Consider the following 25,418-nt stretch of genomic DNA (forward strand, 5'->3'; position numbering starts at 1 on the left):
GATATTTTCCCTGTAGCTATATTTTATTTTATTTATTTAATTTTTTTTTTTGAGATAGAGTCTTGCTCTTTCACCCAGGCTGACAGGCAGTGGCACGATCTCAGCTCACGGCAACCTCTGCCTTCCAGGCTCAAGCAATTCTGCCTCAGCCTCCCGAGTAGCTGGGATTACAGGCACCCGCCACCATGCCCAGCTAATTTTTGTATTTTTAGTAGAGACGGGGTTTCACCATGTTGGCCAGGCTGGTCTCGAACTCCTGACCTCATGATCCACCCACCTCGGCCTCCCAAAGTGCTGGGATTATAGATGTGAGCCACCACACCTGGCCTGTAGCTATATTTTCATTGCTATGTAATATTCCATTTTACAAATATGCCACAATTATCCTTTCTACCATCAATGGCTATTTGAGTTGTTTTCAATTATTTTGTATTATAAACAATGTTGCTATTAACATGCTTGTAAATGTCTTTAGTGTGAAGGTTTTTTCTAAATGGGCTATTATTTTTCTGGCTGAGGTTTTTTGTTCTTTCAGTTCTGTCTTCTATTTGATTAATGCTGGTATTTAGGAAAACTAGAACTTTTTTCATTTTTTATTTTTTTGTAGAAACAGGGTCTCACTATATTGACCAGGCTAGTCTTAAACTACTGGCCTCAAGTGATCCTCCCACCTCGGCCTCCCAAAGTGCCAGGATTACAAGTATGAGCCACCACACCTGGCCTGGTAAACTAGATTTGAACATTTATCTTGTGTCCAATTTGAGTACAATTTACTTGGGTTTTTCATCGTAAACAATAATATCATCTACAAAGTATAATGATTTTGGCAACTCCCTTTTAATAATTATACATTTCAGAATCCCATTGTTAAATTAATATGGTGATGCGAAGCATTCCAGTTTTGTTCCTAACTTTGGTGGGACTGTGCTGAAGTTTCACTAGGCTGTAACTATGTTGGCTGTTAAATGTTGGCTTTGAGATATAATATTTTTATTATATTAAGGAAAGCTTCTACTTCTAGGTACAGTGTTGAATTTTGTCAAATACTTTTTTTAGCTTCCATTGAAATGATCATAATTTTTTATTGAACTATTGAGGTGAGAATCATGCTAATATATGTTTTCATAGTCTCTCAAGCCAATCATTAATATAATATAGACATTTTCTGTTTTTCTCAAGATTGAAAATGGTCACAAACATGACTTCAGGTCTTAGTCATCCTCCAAGATCTTTCTCCCTGAGTCTCTTTTCATTTGTAGCTGAGAAAATTGACTTGGCCAAGCTGACAGTGACTGTTGACAGACAGGTTAAAGCCGGGTGACCTCCCTCATACTGATGATGGCCCCCTGCAGAGCAAGCATGGTAGACTAGGAGGGAGAGTATTAAAGTATTTCCCGGCTGGACACAGTGGCTCACGCCTGTAATTCCAGCACTTTGAGAGGCCGAGGTGGGCCGATCATGAGCTCAGGAGTTCGAGACCAGCCTGGCCAACACGGTGAAACCCCGTCTCTACTAAAAATACAAAAATTAGCCAGGCGTGGTTGTACACACCTGTAGTCCTAGGTACTCAGGAAGCTGAGGCAGGAGAATTGCTTGAACCCAGGAGGCGGAAGTTGCAGTGAGCCGAGATCACGCCATTGTACTCCAGCTCTGGGCTACAGAGCAAGACTCTGTCTCAGAAAAAAAAAAAAAAATCCCTAATCCCAGTCATTTCCCTGTGATTAGGATTATGAAATGAAAAGCTGCAACTGGAGTCAGGCATGAAAACAGATGCCTGGCAGAGTCAAGAGTTGATGCAGAGTGAGCGGGCAGAGACAGTGAAGTCTGCAGTTAAAATCCCTGGCCAGGGTCCTGGTCCCATCCCAGTGGGCTTCCTGCCTGCCAGCCTGGGGGAGTGGCGTGGGCTGACCCCGACCAGGTAAGAGCCACACGTCTCTTCTCCTTTGGGCATCTGTAGATTCAGGGTGGTGCAGTGCCCAGAGCTGATGTGTGCGAGTGTGTGTGCCCGTGTGTGCTGCAGCATGCAGAGAGGCGTGACAGGAAGACCGGCGGCTGCAGTCTGGAGGTGCCCAACTGTCCTCTGACAGCATCTCTCCTAGTGTTCTCTCCCAGCCTGTTTTTGCACTTTTCTCTCATTACCTTCTCTTCTCCCCCACCCCCATCCATTTCTTCTTCTGATAGGCATTTTATTTCCAAATTTCCAGGCTCACTTAGAATTGAAGTGTAAGGCCAATGCTTCTGTCGGTGATGGATGGCATTTTGGGGAAGAGAAAAGAGGGAAGGGGGCCACGGGCAAGGAGGCCTGGGCATCAGACGTAAGCAGGGCTCAGTCAGGAAGCCTGGGCACAGCTCCCGGCCCTGCCAAAGGCTGACTTTCTCGCAGGGCCTGGGGCAGGACTGGCCATACTGAGTGGACGAACCAAATCCTTCGGAGAGGACCTTGATTCTCTTAGCAAGCTGTGGTCCCTCTCTCTCTCAGGCATCGCTATCTGATAGGGATTTTTTCTTTTATTTAATCACCTGGCATTTGGTCCACACCTTTTTTGTGGTGGGCACCTCTTAGGGGCCAGGGACACAGGAAGGATCAGACACGGTGCTGCTTGAAAGAAGTCTCTGTGAAGTGGGAGACACACAGGCTTAGATGTGCACAACTGTGGACAAGTGCTCTGATAGAAGCAGGTGATCTGACAGGTGAGGGCTGTGGAGGGAGTGGGGGAAGGCTTCCCTGAGGAGGTGACATGTGAGCTGAGTGTGGAAGGTCTAGGAGGAGACAGCCAAGTTGGGATGGGGATGTCAGTCTGCTCGGGCTGCCATAACAAAACGCCATAGACTGGGTGGCTTAAAACACAGGAAATTATTTCCACGGTTCTGGAGGCAAATGTCGGGGGTCACATGCCAGCTCGGTGGAGTGCTGGTGAGGGCTCCCCTCCTGGCCTGCAGACAGCTGCCTTCTCATTATATCCTCACATGGTGGTGAGGGTGCACAGGGAGAGAGCTCTCTGGGGTCTCTTTTTGTCAGGATGCTAATCCCATCCTGGGGGCCTCACCGTCATGACCTCCTCTAACCCTAATCACCTCCCAAAGGCCCCGCCTCCTAATACTATCCCACGGAGGGGTTAGGGCATCAACATAAGAATTTGGAGGGGGCCACAGTTCAGTCCACAGCAGGATGTGTGTGTGTGGAGTGAAGCAGGTACTTCAGGCTGAAGGAATGCCTGGGCAAAGGCAAGGAGACAGGACTCGGTGCCACCAGTCAGGGAACTAGAAGCAACTCAATATGTTGAGGAAGCAGGGCAGGCTCTCGGGGCTGGGATGAGAGATGAGGCTGGAGTGACCCATGTGCCATGCAAAGGCTTTTGAGTTTTAACTCGAGGCCCTGTGCTTCCCCAGACTGACCGGGCCTCAACATCACCTGGGAATCCTGGAAGGAAACAGGTTCCTGGGCCTTGCTCCAACCTAAGGAACCCGAATCTGCATAGGTGAGGCCTCAGAATCAGCCTTCCCAGCAGCGCGGTGGGGAGTACAGGGGAGCCGCGGGAGGGTTTTGGGAGGGGGGAAGCAGCTACATGGTAGACCCTGCACGCGCCCTCGCTCCTCTGCTGGAGGAAGTGATGAGGGCAGGCCTGGGGCTGGCAATGGGATCCTCAGCAGTTGCTGCTCAGATCAGTTGCCTCCTTGGACCATGTTCCCATGAGCAAGACAGGAGCCACCAGGAAATGCAGGTTTCCATTTGGACAAGCTCCTTTAGGCTGGACAGTCGAGGGATGGTAGAAGTGTGCCCCCACCCCATTTCTGCCCCACTTTGCTCTAATGGTGTGAGTTGGAAGGACCATCTCCCTCACTTTTCCCTTCATCCTGAGTGAAACCTGGTTTCCACAGCTCACATGGCGCCGTATTTCCAACGTTCAGAGCACATTGGAAAGTTGGGAGGAAGGATGAGGCTTGTGTTTTCACTCACAGTAAGTCAAAGGGGCTTCTTGGGATGGTCCATTTCCCTAGTTGTTCAGCAGAGGAAGGGGCTTTGTGATCACTGTTTACATTGTATTTGTTTTCCTCCTAGAACTCCCTCCAGAAGATGATAATGAAAGTGTCTGACGCATAAGGAAATAAATAAGATGGTTATGTGCCCAGCTCAAGGGCTAAGGTGTTGGTCAAGACCACACCCGAGGGGCTGCCAGTCACAGGGTGGGGTCCAAGCTCCTCACCAGACCCAACCTCCCCTGCTCTGCAACCTCATCCTTCCCCTGTCTTTCCTGGGTTAAATTTTACACTTAGTAACACTGAAACCAGGCAGTTTCACACCTCCGAGCCTGCATCTATGCTCATCTCTTTACCTGAAACGTCTTCTCTCACCCCTCCCCCTCTGTCTGGCTAATTCCTGCTCATTCTCCAAGACCCAGTTCTCCGTGGTACCCCTTCTCACCCAACACACACCCCTCAATCTAGCCTTTTCTGTGAGCAACCTACACCACCTTATGCTGACCTGGTTGGGAGCACATATATAGAAAGTTTGTGTGCCTGCCCCTCCCCAACTCCCCAGTTCCTCAAAAGTAGGGTCTGTGGTGCTAAATTTTGTCTCTGCAGTCTCTGACATATCTAGGAGCTCAACATATATCTGCTAAATCAAACAGAATCCAGATGAACAAGAATGCCCTCGACATGTAGATGTCACAATTCAACAGCATTCTAAGGGTTTGCTCGTGCTCATGGGTATCTTTAGGACAGGTGGCTTTTAAGGCCTCAATATAGATGTAACACCCTACTCCCCTCGCACAAAAAACAAAAAAACAAAAAAAACTTTAACCCAAATAAACTGAAAGTGATTATTTGCATCTCAAAAGATTGGGGGGAGGCAGGTTTTCTTTAAACATTAAACCTTTGCTGGAACTTTCAGAAACTTTCCTTATAGATCATTAACTTCTGGGGGAGGGTGGGAGCAGAAGCCGTGGAGTCTGAATTCAGAGGTGCCTCTATAAAAGAGGAAGCAAGGCAGAAAATCTTGGAACCAGACAGAGCTGGGTTCAGATTCTAGCTATACTAGCTGTGTGGCCTTGGGCAAGCTACTTAACCTCTCTGCAGCTCGATTTCTTTATCACTAAAGTGGAGATACACTATACCTATTTTGCATGGTTGTTGTAAAGATGCAAAAGATCCTATGTGGGGTACCTTAGCTCATAGGATGCCCCCAATAATAGTAACAGTGTTGCTGCTGTCAGGCTTAACACTGGGCATGCAGGAGAAGAAGGAGTCTTGAGGGGCTTTTAACTTAGACGGCAGGAATAAGAAAGCCAGGAAGGGCCAAGCCACTGTGCCAGCACATTTTCAGTATCACAGCACTTCATGATTTTTTTCACAAATCTTTTGATTTTTTTTTAAACTAAATCTTTCCATGTTGAACAGGCAGATGCTGGCGACAGCACTGTGCAGTGTACTGGCATGAGGGCCTGGACTCTAGGAGGCTGGACTACAGCTTACCCAGCTGTGGATCCTGGGGCGTTCACTTACACTCAGTGTCTATAGAAAGGAGACAATAGGCCAGGCGTGGTGGCTCACACTTGTAATCCCAGCACTTTGGGAGGCCCAGGCGGGCAGATCATGAGGTCAGGAGATCGATGCCATCAAGGCTAACACGGTGAAACCCCATCTATACTAAAAATACAAAAAATTAGCCAGGCACGGTGGTGGGCACCTGTATTCCCAGCTACTTGGGAGGCCGAGGCAGGAGAATGGCGTGAACCTGGGAGGCGGAGCTTGCAGTGAGCCGAGATAGCGCCACAGCACTCCAGCCTGGGTGAAAGAGCGAGACTCCGTCTCAAAAAAAAAAAAAAAAAAAAAAAAAGAAAAGGAGACAATAGCCACTGCCTACTTCTTAAGGCTGAAATACGAGATAATGAATTTAAACTGCTTAGCCAATGCCTGGTGCCAGTATGCCCACTGCAAATAGTGCAGGCACCACTCTGTGAAGCGATCAATACTAAAAAGCAAAAGCAGTCAATGCTTTGTTAAAGGAACTTCTTGTTCTGGGAACATGGTGAGTTTCGGGGAGGGAAGAGGCCACCCAGGACCCTGGAGACCACCTGTCACCAGAGCTGTGTAACTGCTACAGGAGAGGTGTCCCAATCCAGACCACAAGAAAGGGTTCTTGCATCTCTCGCAAGAAAGAATTCAGGGCAAGGCTGGGCGTGGTGGCTCATGCCTGTAATCCCAAACTTTGGGAGGCCGAGGCAGGTGGATCACTTGAGGCCAGGAGTTCGAGACCATCCTGGGCAACATGGTGAAACCCCATCTCTACTAAAAATACAAAAAGTAGCCAGGCGTGGTGGTGCATGTCTATAGCCCCAGCTACTCAGGAGGCTGAGGTGGGAGAATCCATCGCCCCACTGCCCTCCAGCCTGGGCAACAGAGCAAGACTCTGTCTCAAAAAAAAAAAAAAAAAAAAAAAAGCAAGGTGCGTTCACAGTGCAAAGCAAAAGCAAGTTTAGTAAGAAAGTAAAGTGGTGAAAGTACAGCTACTCCATAGACAGAGGAGGGAGTTCTGGAAAGTACGAGGAGGAACGCATCCACCCTGGGTACAATACTCGCTTACACAGGATAAAAAAGGATCATGGGGAGATGTGCTGTGCTACAAGGGTTTGTGATAAAGGATTAATTTTCTTAGTTACTATATTTTGCAATAATCGATATTATTAACTTTAAAGCATAATTACAAATGAGTCTGTTCTCAAGATATCAGGATATCAGGACACTCCTAAGTCTGGGTCTGTTTAGCAAACGTTATTAATTTGTTCTCTTAACCGTAAATATCTAGAAGCTGGGTATAGCTAACTCACTGGGAATGTGGCCCAGCAAGTCCCAGCCTCATTTTCCTCGCCCTCACACAAGATGGAGTCGCTCTGGTTCGAAGCCTCTGACGTAACCTTGGGCCTGTACTGTGACACAGAGGGTTTGCACTGGATAATCTCTCAAGCTCCTAGATTGCCAAGACGCCAGTCCACTCACAGCTCCCCAGGCTCCGCTCTCCTGTTGCCCTGCCAGACGCCCCTTCCCCCACCTTGTGCAGAGTAACCCCCTCCTGACTCAAGAGGCAGCCCCTCTAGAAAACTTCCTTCCCCTCCTCCCCTGCCCCGGTACATATTGCGCGGCCCTTACTGTTGCTGTGTCTGTCCTGTCATCTGGAGGTGCACAACTACCCCATGCTTCACAGTGAAGCCAGTCGGCTGAAGGAAAGATGAACGGGCACTTTCTCTTTGTAGAGATTTCCGGAATCTCCTGAGGCCACTTTTATTGCTTCCCGTCTTTGTGAAAAAATAGGCTTGGAAATAGGTGAGGCTCGGTCACCCCCTCTGGGTGGAAGGAGAAAGCAAGCTCCGTCGGTTTGGGCCGCGGCTGCAGGGAATGCCCCTGGTTGCGACCCCCGTCCCGCGCTGGGGAAAGTGATCTGCTCGAGAGCCCCCAGGACCCTGAGAACCGGTCCCCACCCAAGGCGGCGGCGGGCAATTCCGGCACCGCGGCAGACGGGATGCGCGGAGCGCGTTCCCTCCGGGTTTCCCTCACGCCTCTGGAGAGCGGGAACCAACGACCTTGACCTCGGAGGAAACGGCTCTACGGAGCGATGGACGGCCCCACAGAGAGGGCGGCCGGCTCCTCTGGAAAACTTGTCCACACAAAAGGCATTCCTCAGCTTCCACCCCGAAAGGCGAGCCCTGGGTGTAGGGTTACCAGCGGCGCGCGGAGCCCGCCGAGAACGTGGTGCGCCCCCAGCTCCTGCCCGCGCTCCCCGGCCTCCGTGCGCCCCGCGCGCCTCCGCTCTTGCGCCCGCTTTCCCGCGGGGAAGGGGCCACCGCCCTGCGAGGCTGGCGGCCGCCCCGTCGTCCCCAAGCTCGGGGCCGCCCTGGACTTCCATCCCGCGCCTCTGACGGCCGGGGACACTCGCTCCCTGGGCCGCGGCTCAGGAGAGGCGGCCCCGCGGGGCTCCGGGCGGGGTGGGAGGCCGAGGCCCGGCTCCTCCAGCCCCTCCCGCGGCCCCACCTCTCCGCGCTCGGCTCCCTCTGCCCAGCGCGGGCCGGGAAGGCGCGGGCTTGGCCGCTCTTCCCCTCCACGGCAAAGCCGTGAACGGACAGCTGATGCCACTTCCTTCCCTGCCAGCGCCCTCCCTGCCCGACCCCGCTTCCCGTCCTCTCGCCGGGAGGGAGTGCGGCCCGTGGGGCGCTGCGCCGGCCAGACCCACCCGGGGCCCGGGGGCTGCCAGCAGAGCCGGGAGCTGGCCCGGCCTCGGCGCCGTCCCGGACCCCCAGTCGGCCGCGCCCCGAGGGGCGAGGCCTGCGGGCCGCACTCCCTCCGGCCCCGGATTCGGGGCTGGAAGTCCCTCCCCGAACCCAGCAGCTGGCCTGGGAGGGAGAAGGGGCTGGAGAGGGCCTGGCCTCTCCGAGGGATGGAGGGGACAGAGGCGGCGGCGGCCAAACCCGCGGGCGGCAGCCCCCAGTGAGTATAGAGGAGGCAGCGCCGGGCCGGCCGGGCGGGGGTGGCGGACCGGCGGGGCGGAGGAGCGGGGAGCCCAGGTCGCCCCGGCCACTGGGAAGCGGGCCTCCCACGGGCTCGGAGCTGGAAGGGTCGTGGGGAGGCCCGCCCTTCACGTCCATCTTCGTTTGGCCCCTCTGAGTTAGGGGAAATACATCACAGTGCTTGGGCCATAGAACCAGGCAGCTCCGAGCTGACCGATCTTCCCGAAAGCCCGTGCCCAGGGGACTCCAGTGGGAGGGTCTCATTCTTTAAGGTCTCTGGCGTGCTGTTCCAGAGTTTACCCATCAACAATTCTTACTTTAATTTTTTGGAGCCAGGGTCTCGCTCTGTCGCCCAGGCTGGAGTGCAGTGGTGCGATCATGGCTCACTGCAACCTCGACCTCCCGGGCTCAAGCCCGGCCTCCTCTGGCTTCAGCCTCCCCAAAAACAAAAAGTTATTTTAACTTAACAGAAATTGCTCATATTACATTCTAATCCCCTGTTTTCTGGATTGGACTTTAGAGGAGAAGAAGGAGATGCAAAGAGAAACTTGCTGCATTCTAGATTAACTCATAGAACAAATTATTTCTGTCCTCCTAAAGATAATCCTTAAACTTTACTGGCTTAAAACTGGTGTGACATTTCGCATTATATGTGTATTTTGCTTTATAAAATATGTGCATTCCTGAAAGCTTGTGTATAAATTGAATTGTAATAAACGACTACAGAGAGACTTGCCATTTAAGAGAATTTTATGGTGAATACTTGGTCCGTGTTACGAAGTGGATAACTCCTAATTTGTAGTGTATACACATAAGGATTTTTATGCACAAAGTTTACTTCAAGGGGGGGGGGACATCTAGATGTGTGATATTAAAGTTGTATTTTTCTCAGAAGGTAGAATCAATATTAAAACGCTGTGGCATGTAGATATGCATGCAACACCCTGAGTCAAACCCCTGCTCACCTTCATTCCTTGTGAAGGGATAAACATCAGCCATGCTGCTAAGGATCTGTGCAGCGCTGACAAGCCACCTAGCCTCTGGGGATGGAACATTATCATTTACAGAATAAGGGGAGTAGGGTTAAGTGATCACTACATGTTTTGGAAAAGGCCTGGGCTTGGAATGAGAAGCTTTGGTTTCCAAACTGGGCCTCCTCTTAGCACCTGTGTATTGTAATCTGTGCCTCAGTTTCTCCATCTGTAGAAGTATATAATAAAGCCATTCTTTCTTTTCTTTTCTTTTCTTTTTTTTGAGACAGAGTCTCGCTCTATCGCCCAGGCTGGAGTGCAGTGGCGGGATCTCGCCTCACTGTAACCTCCGCCTTCTGGGTTCAAGTGATTCTCCTGCCTCTGCCTCCCAAGTAGCTGGGACTACAGGCACCTGCCACCACACCCAGCTAATTTTTTGTATTTTTTATTTTTATTTATTTTTTTTATTTTTGAGACAGAGTCTTGCTCTGTCGCCCAGGCTGGAGTGCAGTGGTGCAATCTTGGCTCACTGCAACCTCTGCCTCCCGAGTTCAAGCAATTACCTTGCCTCAGCCTCCTGAGTAGCTGGGACTACAGGTGAGCAGCACTCCTGACCTCAGGATCCACCCGCCTCGGCCTCCCAAAGTGCTGGGATTACAGGTGTGAGCCACCGCGCCTAGCCAATTTTTTGTATTTTTAATGGAGGAGGGGGTTTCACCATGTTGGCCAGGCTGGTCTCGAGCTCCTGACCTCAAGTGATCCACCCGCCTCAGCCTCCCAAAATGCTGGGATTACAGGTGTGAGCCACCGCTCCTGGTCAATAATGCCATTGTGTTAGGGACAGGATTATTGGGGGGAGTGTGTTTGAAAGCACTTGCAGTCCCGCCTGGCATAGAGCAGATGCCTAATCGGCGTTCCTGACTGGTCAAGGTCTCCCTTTGAGCTCAACCCCATGCTGTGGTCCTGTGGCTTGTGCATCAGGGGTCAGGGGTGAGGTTGGATGCAGCACCTTCTACTGGAGGTCAGATCCTGCTTGGTGTCTTCCTGATGTCTATCATCCTCATTGGCTCCCCTTGGAGAGGGAAGAGCATGTTGCCTGTTAGCAGATGCGGGCATCCTCCACTGAAGCTACCCTTCAGCAAAGTAAGAGGCCAGGGATTGGGAAATCACCCTGGTTTTCACTCTGGTCCACATTTGGCATAGGATTAGTTGTCCTCTGAAGCTTCATTTTGCCCGTCTATAAAATGGGGATAGAAAAACTAGAACACTACTGAGACTTGGAAGAAAAAATTCAACAATAACTTATTTGCACTCTTCAATGACTTGCATTTTTTTAAAAGTGCTTTCACGTTATCTATAGCAGGGCTCCCCAACCCCCGGGGCCACGAACCAATAGCGGTCCACAGCCCATAGCAGTCTGTGGCCTGTTAGGAACCAGGCCGCACAGCAGGAGGTGAGTGGCAGCGAGCAAGTGAGCATTACCACCTGAGCTCTGCCTCCTGTCAGACCAGCAGTGGCATTAGATTTTCATAGGAGCACAAATTTTATTGTGAACTGCGCATGTGAGGGAGCTAGGGTGCAAGCTCCTTATGAGAATCTAATGCCTCATGATGTGAAGTGGAACAGTTTCATCCCAAAACCATTCCACCGCACCCCGCCCCCGATCCATGGAAAAACTGTCTTTCATGAAACCAGTCCCTCTGGTGCCAAAAAGGTTGGAGACCACTGATCAAGAGAGCATCCCCTGCTCTGTCTCCAGGTTACTTTCATCTGGACAGGACTCAACGCCAAGACACTTTGGGGCCCCGGGAGGTTGTGGGGGTTAGTCCTGTGCTGGGTCTTAGGAACTCTGTCTGTTTTCTCCTCCAGAGGGCCCAAGACAGGGAGTGGAACAGCCAGCCCCGTGGAGGGGACCTCAGCTGTGGAGTGGAGTGGTCCTGAGCCACAGCTGGATAACGGACACCCCCCAAGACCCTGGCCTTGCCCTCAGGAAAACAGAACATCCAGCCTGATGGCCCCCCAGCCTCCCAGGGTATGGGGAGTACAGCTCCAGGGCCCCTCTGTGCTGGAATCCAAGGTGAGGGCTTTGAAGGAGAAGATGACAGTGGCCAAACAGGGAGTGAGTCCCTGCTCTGCTTCCCAAGAGTGGTCATCCCCCAAGAAACCCCAATGCAGACGAGGCAAGGCAGGGAGAGCCGGGACTCCATCAGAGGGGTCTTTCCTGCCAGGTGCTGTGGTGGCTCCTCGTACCCAAAACCTGCCTGATGGGCAGCTGGACGGCAGCATCAATGAGGAGCAACCCGCCAGGGATGGAGGCCCCAGGCTTCCCAGGCCGCCTGCCCCTGGACGTGAGTACTGCAACAGGGGGAGCCCGTGGCCTCCAGAAGCCGAATGGACACTTCCTGACCATGACAGAGGTCCGCTGCTGGGGCCCAGCTCTTTGCAACAGAGCCCGATCCATGGAGTTACTCCCGGACGGCCTGGGGGTCCTGGTCATTGTAACAAAATCATCCACATTCCCAGCCCAAGGACAGGAAGGTCCTACCCTTTTCCAGATGGCGTGGTGACAGAGGCAGATCTGGATAGCACATCCCTGACCTCCGAGGAGGTCTTTGTCCCCAGGACGGCCCTGCTGGGTGAGCGCTGGAGAGCTGGAGACCTGGAGGCTCTGGGCGCTGGGAGCAGTGTCTTGTCCCTGTCTGATCGGGTGGAGAGAAACCGCCTGTTGCTGCAGGAGATGCTCAACGTTTCTGGGCAGAGCCCCCGCAAGGTGGGAACCCCTGCCTGGACTCCATCCTGGGACACAGCTGCACCAGGTGAAGCTCACTGTGTAGGTCCAGGTGGTGGGGGGAGCAGGAGGGAATCCAGAGGGAGGAAAAGGGGACGAGGGGGTCCCACAGAGGGAGTGGGGCAGGAAAGGAGGGAGAGCCTGACAGTTGCCTGTCATCAAAATCATCAGGATGGCCTCTTGTCCTTGGCTGTGACAGATTCTTTGCAGCCTCACAGGCAGCCTGTCTGCCGAAGCCCCCCATGACCCTGCAGACCAATAGGAGGCCACCCTGCGTGCTTGGGGTTAGAGGCCACTATGATGTCTTCTTTGCGGCTTGGATTCCTTTCCGGAGTGGCTTTTTGCCTCTCCCTCAAGTGACATGCCCTCACCCCTTAGTGAGGGCCCTCTGGTGGGGCAAGCAGACAGGAATCCCTTCCTAAAAGGAGGCTGGGCGTTCTAGCAGCTGGGCTGAGCTCAGACGGTAGCACCAATGGGATGTACAAGTGTCCAAACCCTAGAGGACAGCCTCTTTCCCCTCCCGCCTTCTCATTCCAAAATCTCACAAGCTCATTCATCACCGCATGCCTGAGCCCAGGCATGTGGTCCTCTCAGCATATGGCTGTGCCCACAGCAGTCATCGTGACAGGCTCAGCCTCCAATTTTCAGGCAAAGTGTTAGATTTATCTGGGGAGTAAGTTGCTTCTGGAGAAACTCTTCTCCTCAGTGTTCACTAAGTGGCAGCTGAGAGCCCTGTTTCTGGCTCTGTCCTGATCTCTGCTTCTGTTCTGGATCCTAGAGCGACCAGTGGGGGATGTGGACTGGGCCTCGGGCACCTCCTTGCAGGACTCCGGCCAGAACAGGTAAGAGCTCAGAGCCCACATTTTCTCTCCCTCCCTCCTCACCATGGTCCCTCTATTTACTCAGCATCAGGACAGTAAGAGACCTCCCAAAGTGAGAGGGCAGGCAGACTCCTGCACCAGCAGACCAGTGGACGTCATCATCCCTGAGACCCTGCAGAAATTGCCAGTAACCCCCACCGCCACATCCCCCAGGCTGGTGCCTCCCTGCTACTTGAGCAAAACCACCAGGGAACAAAGCGCATTGCTAACTACCTGCTCCATGTCCATGGAGCCATTTCCCTTGCCCAGGCCTCTTTATCTTTAAAGTTGGGGAAATAGCATCTGTCTGGTTCACTTCACAGGACCATTGTGAGGCCGAAGTGAGATCATCGTTGTGAAAATCACTGGGGAAAATGTACAAAGCCTTACCCCAATTCCGTTCCCAGTCAAGAGGTTGTGCTGGGATCATGTCAAAGATTTCACCTCCAACCTTACCATGCTATCCCACGGCCTTCGCTCCAGCCCCTCCACCAAATATTTTGGGGAAGCTGGACCCACCAAGGTGTAGCGGGGGAATTGGGGCTGCCTGTCCTTCATGGCAGTGTCCTGAGCCAGGCAGAGTGAGAAAAGTACACTCAAGGTGGGAGTGGGGCCATCGGCAGGCCTGACTGCAGCTGGCACCTGCACAGAGGTTGAACCCAGCCTCAGTCTTTGCGAGGCTCCTGGTCCACAAGGCTGAGAGGTCCTGGAGCTCTCGTTTCCCCAGCTGTCTGGTGTTGTCAGCCCCTGCGAGGCCTTGTGGTTTCTGCGGAGGGCAGAGGTCGACACGGTTGCTGCTCCGGTGTAAGGCGGCTCCTGCACAAATCCCACTCAGTTAGAACCACCTCCAGAAAACGTGGACAGACCTCTGTCTTAGTCTATTTGGGCTGCTATAACAAAAAGCCTATAGAGGCTGGGTGGCTTACTAACAGAAATTTATTGCTCACAGTTCTGGGGGCTGTGAGGTCCAGGATCAAGGCACAAGCAGATTCAGCATCTGGTGAGGGCTGCTCTTGGTTGATTCATAGATGGTGCCTTCTTGCTGTGCCCTCAGGTGGAGGAAAGGGCAAGGCAGCCCTCTGGGGCCTCTTAGAAGGGCACTAATCCCATTCATGAGGGCCATGCCCCATGACCTACTTACCTCCCAAAGCTCCACCTCCTGACACCCTCACACTGGGGATATGGTTTCAACCTAGGAATCTTGGGGAGACACAAACACTGAGTCCACCGTAGTCCTCCACCCCCGCACCTGCCTTAACCAAGCGAGGGCAGCCCAGGTTCATGTGATTGGGCTTCTGCTTGCCTAAGGGCCTGATGGAGAGGGGGATGTCTGGCTCCTTCATCCTTTGCTATTTATGATTTGGAATCACAGTTGCCTCCCCTTCTGCCAGGAATCTCTTCCCCTACCTCCCTGGCCGCTGTTTCCAGACCCTCCTCTGGTCCCCAGCTGGCCCTGCCACAGTGTTGAGGAGCGTGACTACAGAAAGGCCTGTGGGCCTCAGCCGGCTCTGCTCCCCTGTCTGCGCCCTGTTCAAGTTGCCTTCTGTCTTTTTCCCTCTTTCTGTGCGGAGCCCTGGAGGAGAGGGCTGGGGCAGATGCCCTCTTCTGCAGAGGTGGTGCCGCCTCTGCCTGCAGCTGCCCCCACCCCCTGCACACTTCCTCCCTCGATGAGGGAAGGGCCCAGTGGGGAGATGCAGCCACTGGGGATTCTGCTCAGTGGCCACTGCTGAAAGGAGAAGCCAAAGCTCCTGACAGCCCGTTGGATACTAAGGAATAAGGCCCCCTCATTTTCAAGGAGGAGACCTCAACCATGGGGGAAGGAGGGGCTTTCCCTTAGTGCTGTGAGGAGATGGTATTTGTGTAGAATCCTCAGGACTGGGGTTTCTGGGCCATTGTTTAACCTGCCAGGCCCCCAGCATCCATGGGCTGCATTTCAGAGTTCAGGCAGGGTGTGCGTACCTGTGTACTGTATGGTGTGTGCCTGGGTGTGTGGAGAGAGAGAGAAGGTCTCTTAGTGAGTTTTAGGACTCTGTTCAAAGACTGTTAACAAAATGTCCCCTTAGAGTGCCTGGCGATCAGGGCAAAGAGTGTTGTGGGGAAACACGCATTGTTTGGGAGTCATTCCAAGTACCCTGCTGGCCTCGCTTGGCGCTCTGCAGTGAGGTCCCTGCTGAGTAGACGCCCAGGCTATAGGGCCATGTCTTGAAGCCCCTCAGATAGGGTTCCCTGTCTGGCTCTATCCCCGAGTCTCCTGGGCAGACATTAAAGGTGGTCCCCAAGACCCTGCAGGGCTCCCTCTCTCCCCGGAGCAGGATGGAGTGATTGATGTTACTTCTGTATCAATGAACTTCCCAAGAGACCTCTGGAGTAAGGCATGCTTCCCTCGGCTCTATGCCCCGGGAGTGCCACTCGAAGCCAGGGTCCTGGGGCTTAGTGTCTGTTCTAAGGGGCTTAGGACTTTGGGGAGAGAATGCTGAGGCTGTGGCAGACCATTTGATGGCCACCCCGAAGGGGGCCCCAGGACATCAGTCAGGACGTGCTCTGGCAGGAGGAAAGCGCAGGACCTCACTCATGAGGTCATGAGCCCCTTGGATCTTCTGAGGGTTTAAGGTGCTGCTTCACATTCAGTCAAGTGTTGCAATCAAATAACCATTACAACCAAGTTAACCTAGCATGCATCTGATGGTGTCCGTAATGGTTACTGCTCTGCAGGCAATGGGACGAGTAGCTCATGACATGATGGTGACAGCAGAGCTCAACACAGCAGGCAGGCTGGGGGCGGGCTGGGGGCGGGCTGGGGCTGGCCTGGCTTGTGTGGGGCAGTCACCAGGAGTCAGCCTGGGAGGCAACGACCCAGGACCTTAAAGGCTAAGGGTCAGATGCGGAGGAGACCCCCGGCCCCCAACCCCAGGGTTGTCCCCCACTTAATGAGGGGCAAGAGAAGGCTCAGTTGCAGAGGACTGGAGCCTCCTAGTGGTAGGCAAAAGCCCATGCCAGCAGCTGCCATTTTTGAGCTCTTATTATGTGGCAAGAGCTATGCTAAGTGCTGTTCCTTCTTTCCCATTTTATCCTAATAACAAATTGTATTTTTCACGCACGTCCGTGTGAAAAGACCACCAAACAGGCTTTGTGTGAGCAACAAGTCTGTTTATTTCACCTGGGTGCAGAAGGGCTGAGTCCAAAAAGAGAGTCAGTGAAGGGAGATAGGGGTGGGGCCGTTTTATAGGATTTGGGTGGGTAGAGGAAAATTACAATCGAAGGGGGTTTTTCTCTTACGGGCAGGGGCGGGGGGTCACAAGGTGCTCAGTGGAGGAGATTTTGAGCCAGAAGAAGGAATTTCACAAGGTAATGTCATCAGGTAAGATAGGAACCGGCCATTTTCACTTCTTTTGTGATTCTTCACTTGCTTCAGGCCAACTGGACATAAAGGTGCAGGTCACAGGGGATACGATGGCTTAGCTTGGGCTCAGAGGCCTGACAGTATTTATTGTTCCTGTTTCACTGAGAGAGAGACCTCTGTGGCGGGGGGAGTTAAGGGACTTGCCCAGGTCCTCTAGCTGCCAAGTATTGGAGCCAGGTTTTGCACTCAGGGCTGCCGGCCCCAAGGGCTGCGCTCTTGCCATCGTGCAGCACTGCCACAAGCCACCCTGTCCCTGCCCCCACAGGCCACCCCTTGGGCTAGGGATCTGGGGGTCTCCTTCCCCTCCCAGCCTGCTCTGTTCTCAGGTGTGGGCAAAGAAGGGCAGGTGATGGACTCCATGGGATACGCTTATTTTTCTCCTAGGTCACTATTAGGATGATTCAGGAAATGGGGTTTGGATTTTGGGGGAGAGGATGAGGTGAGACGTTGGGCCTCACAGAGGGCAAAAGGGATCTGTGCCTGGAAGGACTCATAAGAGAGAAGTGGGAGGACATTGAAATAGGGGGCCGCGCTCAGGCTCTCTCTGTACCAGCTCTGGCCCCTTCCCTTCCTTGAGCCTCTGAGAGACATACTGGGAACGCAGATTGCCTTAGGATCCCGGTAACCTAGCGCAAGTGAAAGGGTGTGACAGTGAGGAGCACAGCAATCAGGGCAACGCTGGCTCCAGACCCCACACCAAATCCACTTCGGAGGCTCAGGAGCCCGCGCCAGGGCGGCCAGCCCGAGGCCCTCGGCCTCCTCGGCCGTCTCCATAGAGGCGGTGCTTCTGCATGGCCCAGGCACACCCTGGTGCAAATCAGGACCTTCTCTGTATGTGTGATTTGGGAGGCCCCAGGTGCTGAGTGTGTCTGCAGGGGCTTTAGTTACAGGGAGAAGGGAGCAGAGAAGGTCTCGGTTTTGTTTTATGTGTGCTGTAGTGATGAGGGAAGCGCAGGGAACATCCTAGGTTGTTTATTTTCCCCTCATCGCTGTGATGGAGTCGTGCCCCTGTGGGGATCCACAAGCCCAGTCCCTGGTGTACACACCCTTCAGGAAATCCCTGTGAGTGATCGAGGACCAAAACACTTCACACAGGCGAGGGGAAGGGGAGGGCGGGTCCCGATCTTCAGGCCCCTGCTGGGATTCCTTGGGGGGTAAAAACTCCCTCCCCTCAAGCAGTTTCTAGACTCTAAGTTAAAGACAGGCAGCCCTAAAGAATTTCAGGGGCTTGGCCTGTGGTTCAAGTGGTCAGGCCCTCAGCTGTGAGAAAAATCTCAGGCTTTTAAAGCTTAATATGTTAATTAGCATTTTTGGAAACTGAGATAGGAAAAAACCAAAATGTTTTTCCTACTTTCACACACTCAACACAGCACAGAGCACTTCACCTCAAGCCACCAGAGCGTGTGCAGATGTTTCCCACCCGCCAAGCAATTCTCTGGCAGACCCCAGCTGGCTGCCCTGTGATTCCACTCAGTTCTGACACTGTCTACCTGCAGATAGGATCGGGCCCCACAGGTTGAGGGCTCAGTTCCACAAGACTGCGCCCACTTCAGATGCCAATTGCAAGTCCCAGGTTGTGACCTGCACTTCGGACCAACCAGCTATAAATCGGGGTTCCCACTGTTCCTTCCTTGGGTTTAATTTTATAGGACGGCTCACAGAACGCAAGGAAACACTTTACTTGCATTTACCCATTTCTTATGAAGAATGTTATAAAAGACACGAACAGCCATGTGAGGAGAGGCATGGGGCAAGGTATGGGAGATGGGGCACCACCCCCCAGAAACCTTCACAAGCCCAGCTGTCCTGAAGCTGTCCTGCCAGTCCTTTGGGTGTTTGTGGAGGCCTCATTATGTAGGCATGATTGATTACATCATTGGCCACTGCGAGTCAGCTCAAACTTCAGCCCCTCTCCCCTGACGGAGGTTAGGAGGTGGGGCTTAATGTTCCAACCCTCAAAATGATTGGTGTTTCTGGTGACCAGCCCACATCCTGAAGCTATCTAGGGACTCTCAGCCACCAGCCGTCTCATTACCATACAAAAGACACTCTGCTCATTCCTGAGATTCCAAGGGTTTAGGAGCTGTGTGCCAGGTGCCAGGAGTGGGGACCAAATCCGTATTTATTAGATCACAGAAGCACAGAGCTCCCCTGCGAGCTGGCCACTGGGTGTGATCCAGTGCAATTTCACATGGAACTGGCCACTTTTGCTCTTATTGTGCCCTGCACCGGCTGCAGCCATAGCTGGCACTGGTGTATCTCCTCCCTGAGCTCCTGGGGCAAGAACTGTGCTGTTCTTGTCTCCGGGCCCCAGTGCCTGCAAGTGTGTGCAGGGAAAGGCTCTCAGAAATGTCTGGCAGAGGCACGTCGTAAAGAGTGTGAGTAAGGGCTCAGCAAGGAGGCATGGGGAGTCCCGGCTGAGTGCGGGAGAAGAGACACTCCCACCATCCCAGCACCACCCCAGCATGCCCAGGGCTGTAGAGGTGGCTGAGAACACCCCAGGGCACGGGTGTAACCAAGAACGGAAGAATGCCTGAGCCCCTGCCTGTCCTTACCAACCCCCAGCTCCCATCCTGCCCCACTGATATACACGCACAAAGGAAAGCCCCCTTACCACTCCCAGCCCCACCGAGACTAAAGCAAAAGAAAAAATTAAATGTAACCACTCAACAGTGTTTTAGGATACTTAACACGCTCCCAGTGTCTCACCCTGGGTGGAGAAGGAAGCCCTATCACAAACCCAGTGCCACCTGGATCCTCCAGATACCCTGTCCCATGCTGCGTCATTGCCATGCCCATATACACACCACACATGAAAATCTCATGATGGTCCCAATCTTTACCAATCAAGGAGCTTGAGAAAGTCAATTTACCCAAGGCAATTCATCTGGTGGGAGCCAGTCTGAAATTCTAGGAAAGGAAGCCCTCTCCTCTGCCTGCCAGAGTTGAACAGGCCACTGGTCCCCCATCGGAGGGCATCTCGGACACCTGCCTCCTCTGTGGCCACCCAGGTCCCACACCTGAGGCCAAGAGGTTCTCACCAAAGGGGCAGCCCAAAGCCTCCTTCTGGGGCTCAGCAGGGAATCTGTTCATCTTCAGGAAGGCAGGGGCAGGGTGGCTCTGCTCTCCTCAGAAGTCAGCATCTTAGGCGTGCACTGCAGGCCTCCACACAGATCCTTTTGAAGGTGTTGAAGGAGGTGGGTTCTCCCAGCTGCCATTCCTAAGGACTCCCACTCCTCCTTCTCCATTGACAGGAGGGCCTATTGACTGTCTGGGAGTCAGCTTTCCTCCATGACCAATTGGCCACCTCCTGTTTTCTATCCTATGGAAGCCACCTTTTCTATGGAGCCCTGTCAAGGGCTTTTCAAAGTCCAGAGCAAAGCCACCAGGTCCCCTCCAGCTACAAGATGGTGTTTGTCATTTCAAACATGCCTTCCCCTTGCTGACGACAAAGTGATCTCATCACAGGTGACTTTAGTACATATTCGGGGATTCCATCCTTTGCTTAGTAAGGGGGTGAGAGTAATTTAACAAAACAATGGTGCTAATGATAAAATAATAATAATAATAATAATAAATGCTAACATTTGTGGACTCTTACCAAGTGCCCAGCTCTGTGCTAATCTCTTTTAAAGGAGTCACTCTCACTTATCTTAACAACTGAGCCCTTATTTAGCAGATAGGGAAACTGAGGCTCAACTCCTAAGTAACCTGCCAGGGTGACACAGCTAGGAAGTGGCTGTCCAGGGATTAGAACCCCAGGCAGGCTGCCCCCAAGCCACACACTTCCCCGCCACTCTAGGCTGTGTCCTGTCCATGTCCTGCAGACCTGGGAAGAAGGGACCTGTGCAAGCAAGCATGACAGTCTGAGACTAGGTCCCTGCCCTCATGGAGCACATGACCCAGAATCAGTTCCAGGTGCACCTTTTCCACTTCCCCTCATTCAGAAAATTGCACACAGAATCACAGTAGGAGAGCTCTATCCGTGGTCATCAGAAAGCTTTCAAATACGCAAACATGGAACAAATGCTAAGCAGAAAAGTTTCTCTATGTTCTGTACACTCCATATTCTCCCTCTACTGGGTGCATCCTGGAATCTGGGAAGCGGCAGATCCCTCTACATTCCCAGTTATTTCCCCATCCATGTACCTGAGTTGAAAGGGTTAAACACAGACTCGCTGAGCTTATTATTTTAATCCAGGATTATGATGGCTGCAGAAGAAGGCCACTCTGTCCCCTTGACCTCCTTGGCTAGGAGAGCAATGGTGGTTCTCCTGCCCCAGCTGGCTGGAGGGAGAGCAAAGCCTTAGCTAAGCCTGTCCCTCCACCAGGAAACTGGCCGAGACGGGAGTGCCCAGAGCAGGAGGGGACCACACGCTGCCCTTTGTCCTTGTGAACCAGTCGAGGACACAGGTGGCTGGAGGGGTGGGGGAAGGGCCAGCATACTCTAGTGGAACTCTAGTTTTCCCCAACAATGAGCTCTTTATAGGCTCTGCCACTCGGTCAGGGCCAAACATCTGTGGTGGGAACTCCCCCAAGGGGGGACCTCGAAATCCCACACCCCACCTTATGGCATATCAGACTATGTGGCCAAAGATCTGGGCTCACAGGGTAGCACTGTGAGTCCTCTCCCCTCTCCAGCCCCCACTGCTTGCAGATGGGGAAACTGAGGCCCAGGGAGGAAAAGCACTCAGCCACTTTATTCCTATGCTCCACCCTCTGAGCTAATGAGCTCCAGAAGTGCAGACTTTCAAGACAGTGGCAAAAAGCCGTCTCTTCTTAGGCAGGAATTGCCTCTGCCTGGCCATGGCACTGACCACCCCAACCCTTCTAGGAATTTTCCAGAGCAACTCTGGGAGCTGGGAGGTGGGCAGTGAGATGGGACAGACTCAGCACCCACCCCATTTTGCCTGCTTGTTCCCTGCCTCAGAGAAAGACCACCTTCCCTCCACAGGGCTGGTCAGGCCCTCGCTTCACCAGGGTGCACGTTGACCTTGGCTGCAGTCTGTGAAGGTGACTGCCACTCCTCCATGCTCAGTGTGGTACTGCATGGATGCCTCTAGGCGCCTAAAAAGCCCTGCTTTTCTAATCAGTGGAGAACCAGCTTTGTCTGCCAGGAACTGAAGCAAGACAGCTGATGAGAAAAAAAAAAAAAAAAAAAAAGTAACAGCTCCAAGAGGAGGGAGCAGAAAGGAAATAGCAAAGCTGGAAAATGGCTTTAAAACCTGGGGGCAAGGCTGATCCTGGCAGCATCTGGCCAGTTGCCTGGGGGCCCTCCTGCCTGCCCACCAGGTCTTGTGACAAATGCCCTCTGACAGCCGTGGAACCACAGCTGTCACCGGAAGGCTCCGAGTGTGCGGGCTGGCAGCCAGAGGCCCACGGCTGCAGGGGCGCCTCTCCGGGCTGGTAACCTCATTATCTCTGCTGTCAGGGCAGGAGCCCCAGGGAGCACAGCTGCTCTCAGCCGCCTTGGAGGAGCTGTCTGCTGGGGAAGCTGTGCAGAGGGAGGCCTCTCCTGCCAAAGGAGGCTTCACGGGGCAGCGGGCCTGGAGATTCGCTTTCCCATCACTCCAGTAAAGCCCTCCTTGTTCCAAAGCCATGCCTGGGCCCTGCCAGGGTTCACAGGCACAGATGGTGCCTTTCTTCTAGCAGTCTCCTCCTGCTCCCCAGCAGCCCCAAAACAGGGTTGGATGCAAATAGTGAGAAGAAAAAGAAAAGGAAACAAGAAAAGAAATCATAGTCTGCCCAGAGTTTGTCCAAGGATGTCCAAGGAAGCCTTCCTTGGAGGCCTCAGAGCTGTGCCATTTCCACTCACATCTCTGTCACCCAGGAAACTGCCTGGTCCCTTCCCCCAGTCAGGACCATGGTGAGGGGCTGCAGGTCTGAGATCAGGACCTGCTGGAGCCCTGTGGACCCTCACTGTTGAGGACAGCCCAGCATATGTGACGGCGAGGACAGGGGCAGCCAGTGGGGATGATGAAGTTACCCCAAAGAGCGCATCTGCCCCCAGCCACAAACATCCTCTGCCTGCCCTGAGACCCAAGGCAGGAGAGGACAGAGGGTGCGGAACGATGCTGGAGACAGTGGGCTGGCTGTCGTGTGCTCTGCTCCGCTTGCAATTGACGTTCGACCTTGAACAATGTGCCAGCGTTCTTCTCTGCTCTGGACACCCTCATCTGTCAAGTGGAGAGAACACCTGCCCTCGGCCAGCCTGGCTGGGGAGAGCAAGCTCCGTGGAGAACAACGTCTTGTCAGTGGGAGATTGTGGGTTGCTGTTATAGCTGTAACCCAGCGCGGGCTGTATGTCACTGGCTGAGAGACAGCTTTGAAAACGGACTGCTGTCATTTTCTGCCACTCTGGACTGGCCAGGGAGGCAGCACATCTGGTAGGGGGTGGGGGCTGGTGGAGGACCCTTATTATTATGAAAGTCGAACCACTTGCTGGCTTGGTTTGGGTCCAGCTTAATTTCTCTCAGCCCTGAGCCTGTGAGCCCTGAGCTGGTGCCTGATGGTTTTGGATTGGGACTAAGGCAAGAAAACACCAGGATTTATAAAAATGCCATTCCCCCAAAGGGCCCAATCTATGCTGGACAGAGCCCTGATTCTTTGCATCTGCAGTGGGTACTAGTGTGGTGCTGTGTGTGGGTGCAGAGAGACAGAAGGAGAGAGAGGTGATGCGTGGAGAGACCATCTGTCTGGGCACAGGCCCAGCCCAACAACCCCGGGCCCTTTCTCCCTCCTCCTCCCAGATAGCTCCTGCTGTCTGCCTGGGGAAGGAACAATAGAATAATCTGGAGACTCTCCTACCCTTTCTAGATCCTCTTGAGGTCTCTGCCTCCAGTGCCTGAGCAGATGTCCAAGGCCGGGCCAGCTCCCCAGCCCCCATCCAGAGCCACGCAGGGCCATTTCCCAGCCCCAGGCCCCAGGCCCCAGGCCCCCAGGCTGGGTTCCCTGTGCGTGGGTGCTAGAGGAGGAAGGCTGCACATGCAGGGCTTTTTCTGGCACAGCCAGTGCTTGACACTGCTAAAGCCCTCCTAATCTGCGTTATTTTCCTCTAATCCCTCCCCCACCACCCTGGCCTGTGTGCCACGCTGCAGGACCGTTGGTCCCAACCCGGAGCCTGTGCTGAGCCCCAGGCATGAGGAAGCCACGCATCTGCTGCAGCGTGCCCGCATGAAGGCCAGGACCCGGCCCCTCCGTGCCAGCCATGACATCGTGCCCACCATTACCCAGGGCAGCCGGTGAGTGGGACCTGGGCCAGGCTAGCCTGGGAGGGCCATAGCAGGGAAGAGTCAGCAGTGGGAAGAAGTGGGATCTAGCCAAATGCTGCTGCTGCTCGCTCCATGTGTGTGTGTGTCTGTGTGTTTTCCATATAAGGCTCTTGCTTTGATTATTTAGTCAGTCAACACACCTTTCCTGAGGGCCTACAGTCAGGCACTGAGATACAAAGATGAATGAAACATGATCTGGATCCCTGGGGGGATGGAGGTCACAGTCTCCAGGGAGAGAAGCAAACAGATATTCAATTATGTGGACTGTGGTGTGAGAGAGGAAAAGTGTGTGTGCTGAACTGGAAACTGTTAACTCCACCTGGAAAGGACAGGTGAGGCTCTTGAGAGAAGGTGACTTCTTAGCTGAGGCTTGACGGAAGTATAGATATGCACTGGCAAGCAGTGCAAGATAGGCACTGGCAAGCAGGCTTAGTGAGGCGACAGAGGAGCGCAACACCTACAGCCAGACCATGCGGGCTTGACTTCTGGTTCTGGCACTTAGCTGGGTGCCTCTGCAGAAGTCTGTGTGCCTCAGTTTCCTCACCCACAAAATGGGAACTGTAACAGTGCCTGTCTTACAGGGTTGCTGTGGAGCTATGTGAGCTAATACGTGTCAAGTTTAGAACAGCGCCCGCCATGCAGTGAGTGCTGCAGGACTGTGAGCTCTAATGACTCCTTATTTTGTTGCAGGGGTGTGGGAGGTGTGAGAAGGGAGGCATCTGGAATGAGCCCAGGGTTCTGACTCGGTGTCTGTGTGTTTGGTGGGGCCTCAGCCGAGGGGTGAGGCCTCAGTGCAGGGTCAGGCATTGGAGGGGGAGGTGGTCCCAGAACATCCACTGGAAATGCCCACCAGGCAGTTGGATACAGGATCTTTAGAGGAGGAGAGATCAGAACTGAAGATTTGGATGTCATCCCTGATTTCATAATGCTACAGCCGTGGTAAGGTAGGAAAACAACAAGGTCAAGGACATTCAGACCAGCACATCACACACATGACTGCCCCCTGAGCAACACACTGCATCCCCATCTTCCTGCCTGTTCCGCCGATGGTGCACTTTGAAGAATCACTTACATGTGGACTTCACCACCACACAGAGCTGTCTTCCAGTCATGCACCTGGGCCTGAGATGAGGCCACCAGGCTATGCCAGGTCTCACCAGGCCCAAGCAAGACCACTTCTGCAGCTAGCAAAGCCTGTGGCTTCACTGGCATGGTGGGCCTGCTGCATCAGCCTGTTTGAATCACCACGTGGCAGTGGAGGGAGCAGGGGTTCTTAGGGAACAGGGATCTTGGTGGAACTGGACCACATGCTCTTTGATGGAGGGTGCCGAACTGCTCATTAAAGGCTAAGGACCTTCATGGAACCACTGAGACGACTCCTTCATGAGCAGAGGTCATTGTGACCCTTAGGAGAGGGGCTCAGAAGACCATAAATCCTGGCAAGGGGTGCCAAACAGACTGCCCTTGTATTTCCACATTTTGGGCCTTGCCTCTCTCTCTAGATGGAGGGCACTTGTTAGGAATGGGCATGGTGGGCTGGGCACCGTGGCTCACGCCTGTAATCCCACCACTTTGGGAGGCTGAGGCGGGCGGATAATGAGGTCAGGAGATCAAGACCATCCTGGCT

At 53.4% G+C, this 25,418-nt stretch overlaps 1 protein-coding gene and 1 long non-coding RNA gene across 3 annotated transcripts in view, besides 3 other annotated features; both read left to right on the top strand.

Annotated features, from left to right (window-relative positions):
* Positions 1-1,779: 1,779 nt before the first annotated feature.
* LINC02816 (long intergenic non-protein coding RNA 2816) lies at positions 1,780-9,244 on the top strand. The gene is made up of 4 exons (NR_185877.1): positions 1,780-1,918; positions 3,391-3,479; positions 3,880-3,959; positions 4,061-9,244. It is a non-coding gene; the product is annotated as a long intergenic non-protein coding RNA 2816 (long non-coding RNA).
* Positions 7,881-8,180: a silencer, noted in NCBI's record as "silent region_1596". NCBI's record gives its function as "represses an Ori minimal core promoter by ATAC-STARR-seq in GM12878 lymphoblastoid cells {active_cell/tissue: GM12878}" and the evidence as "EXISTENCE:reporter gene assay evidence [ECO:0000049][PMID:35858748]".
* Positions 8,085-25,418, top strand: part of KIAA1614 — a 38,718-nt gene continuing 21,384 nt past the window's right edge. For both annotated transcript variants that reach the window (NM_020950.2, NM_001427641.1), the window contains exons 1-4: positions 8,085-8,481; positions 11,342-12,288; positions 13,039-13,102; positions 23,618-23,761. In NM_020950.2, coding sequence (NP_066001.1) covers positions 8,432-8,481; positions 11,342-12,288; positions 13,039-13,102; positions 23,618-23,761 — 1,205 coding nt within the window. In that variant the 5' untranslated portion in view covers positions 8,085-8,431. The remainder of the gene's footprint in view (positions 8,482-11,341; positions 12,289-13,038; positions 13,103-23,617; positions 23,762-25,418) is intronic.
* Positions 13,968-14,047: an enhancer, noted in NCBI's record as "active region_2165". NCBI's record gives its function as "activates an Ori minimal core promoter by ATAC-STARR-seq in GM12878 lymphoblastoid cells {active_cell/tissue: GM12878}" and the evidence as "EXISTENCE:reporter gene assay evidence [ECO:0000049][PMID:35858748]".
* Positions 18,265-19,146: an enhancer, noted in NCBI's record as "NANOG-H3K27ac-H3K4me1 hESC enhancer chr1:180892213-180893094 (GRCh37/hg19 assembly coordinates)". NCBI's record gives its function as "activates a minimal SCP1, AML or CMV promoter by ChIP-STARR-seq in primed H9 embryonic stem cells {active_cell/tissue: H9 hESC(primed)}" and the evidence as "EXISTENCE:reporter gene assay evidence [ECO:0000049][PMID:30033119]".

The sequence above is a fragment of the Homo sapiens genome, chromosome 1 (assembly GCF_000001405.40).
Source record: "Homo sapiens chromosome 1, GRCh38.p14 Primary Assembly".
NCBI classification, from domain to species: domain Eukaryota; kingdom Metazoa; phylum Chordata; class Mammalia; order Primates; family Hominidae; genus Homo; species Homo sapiens.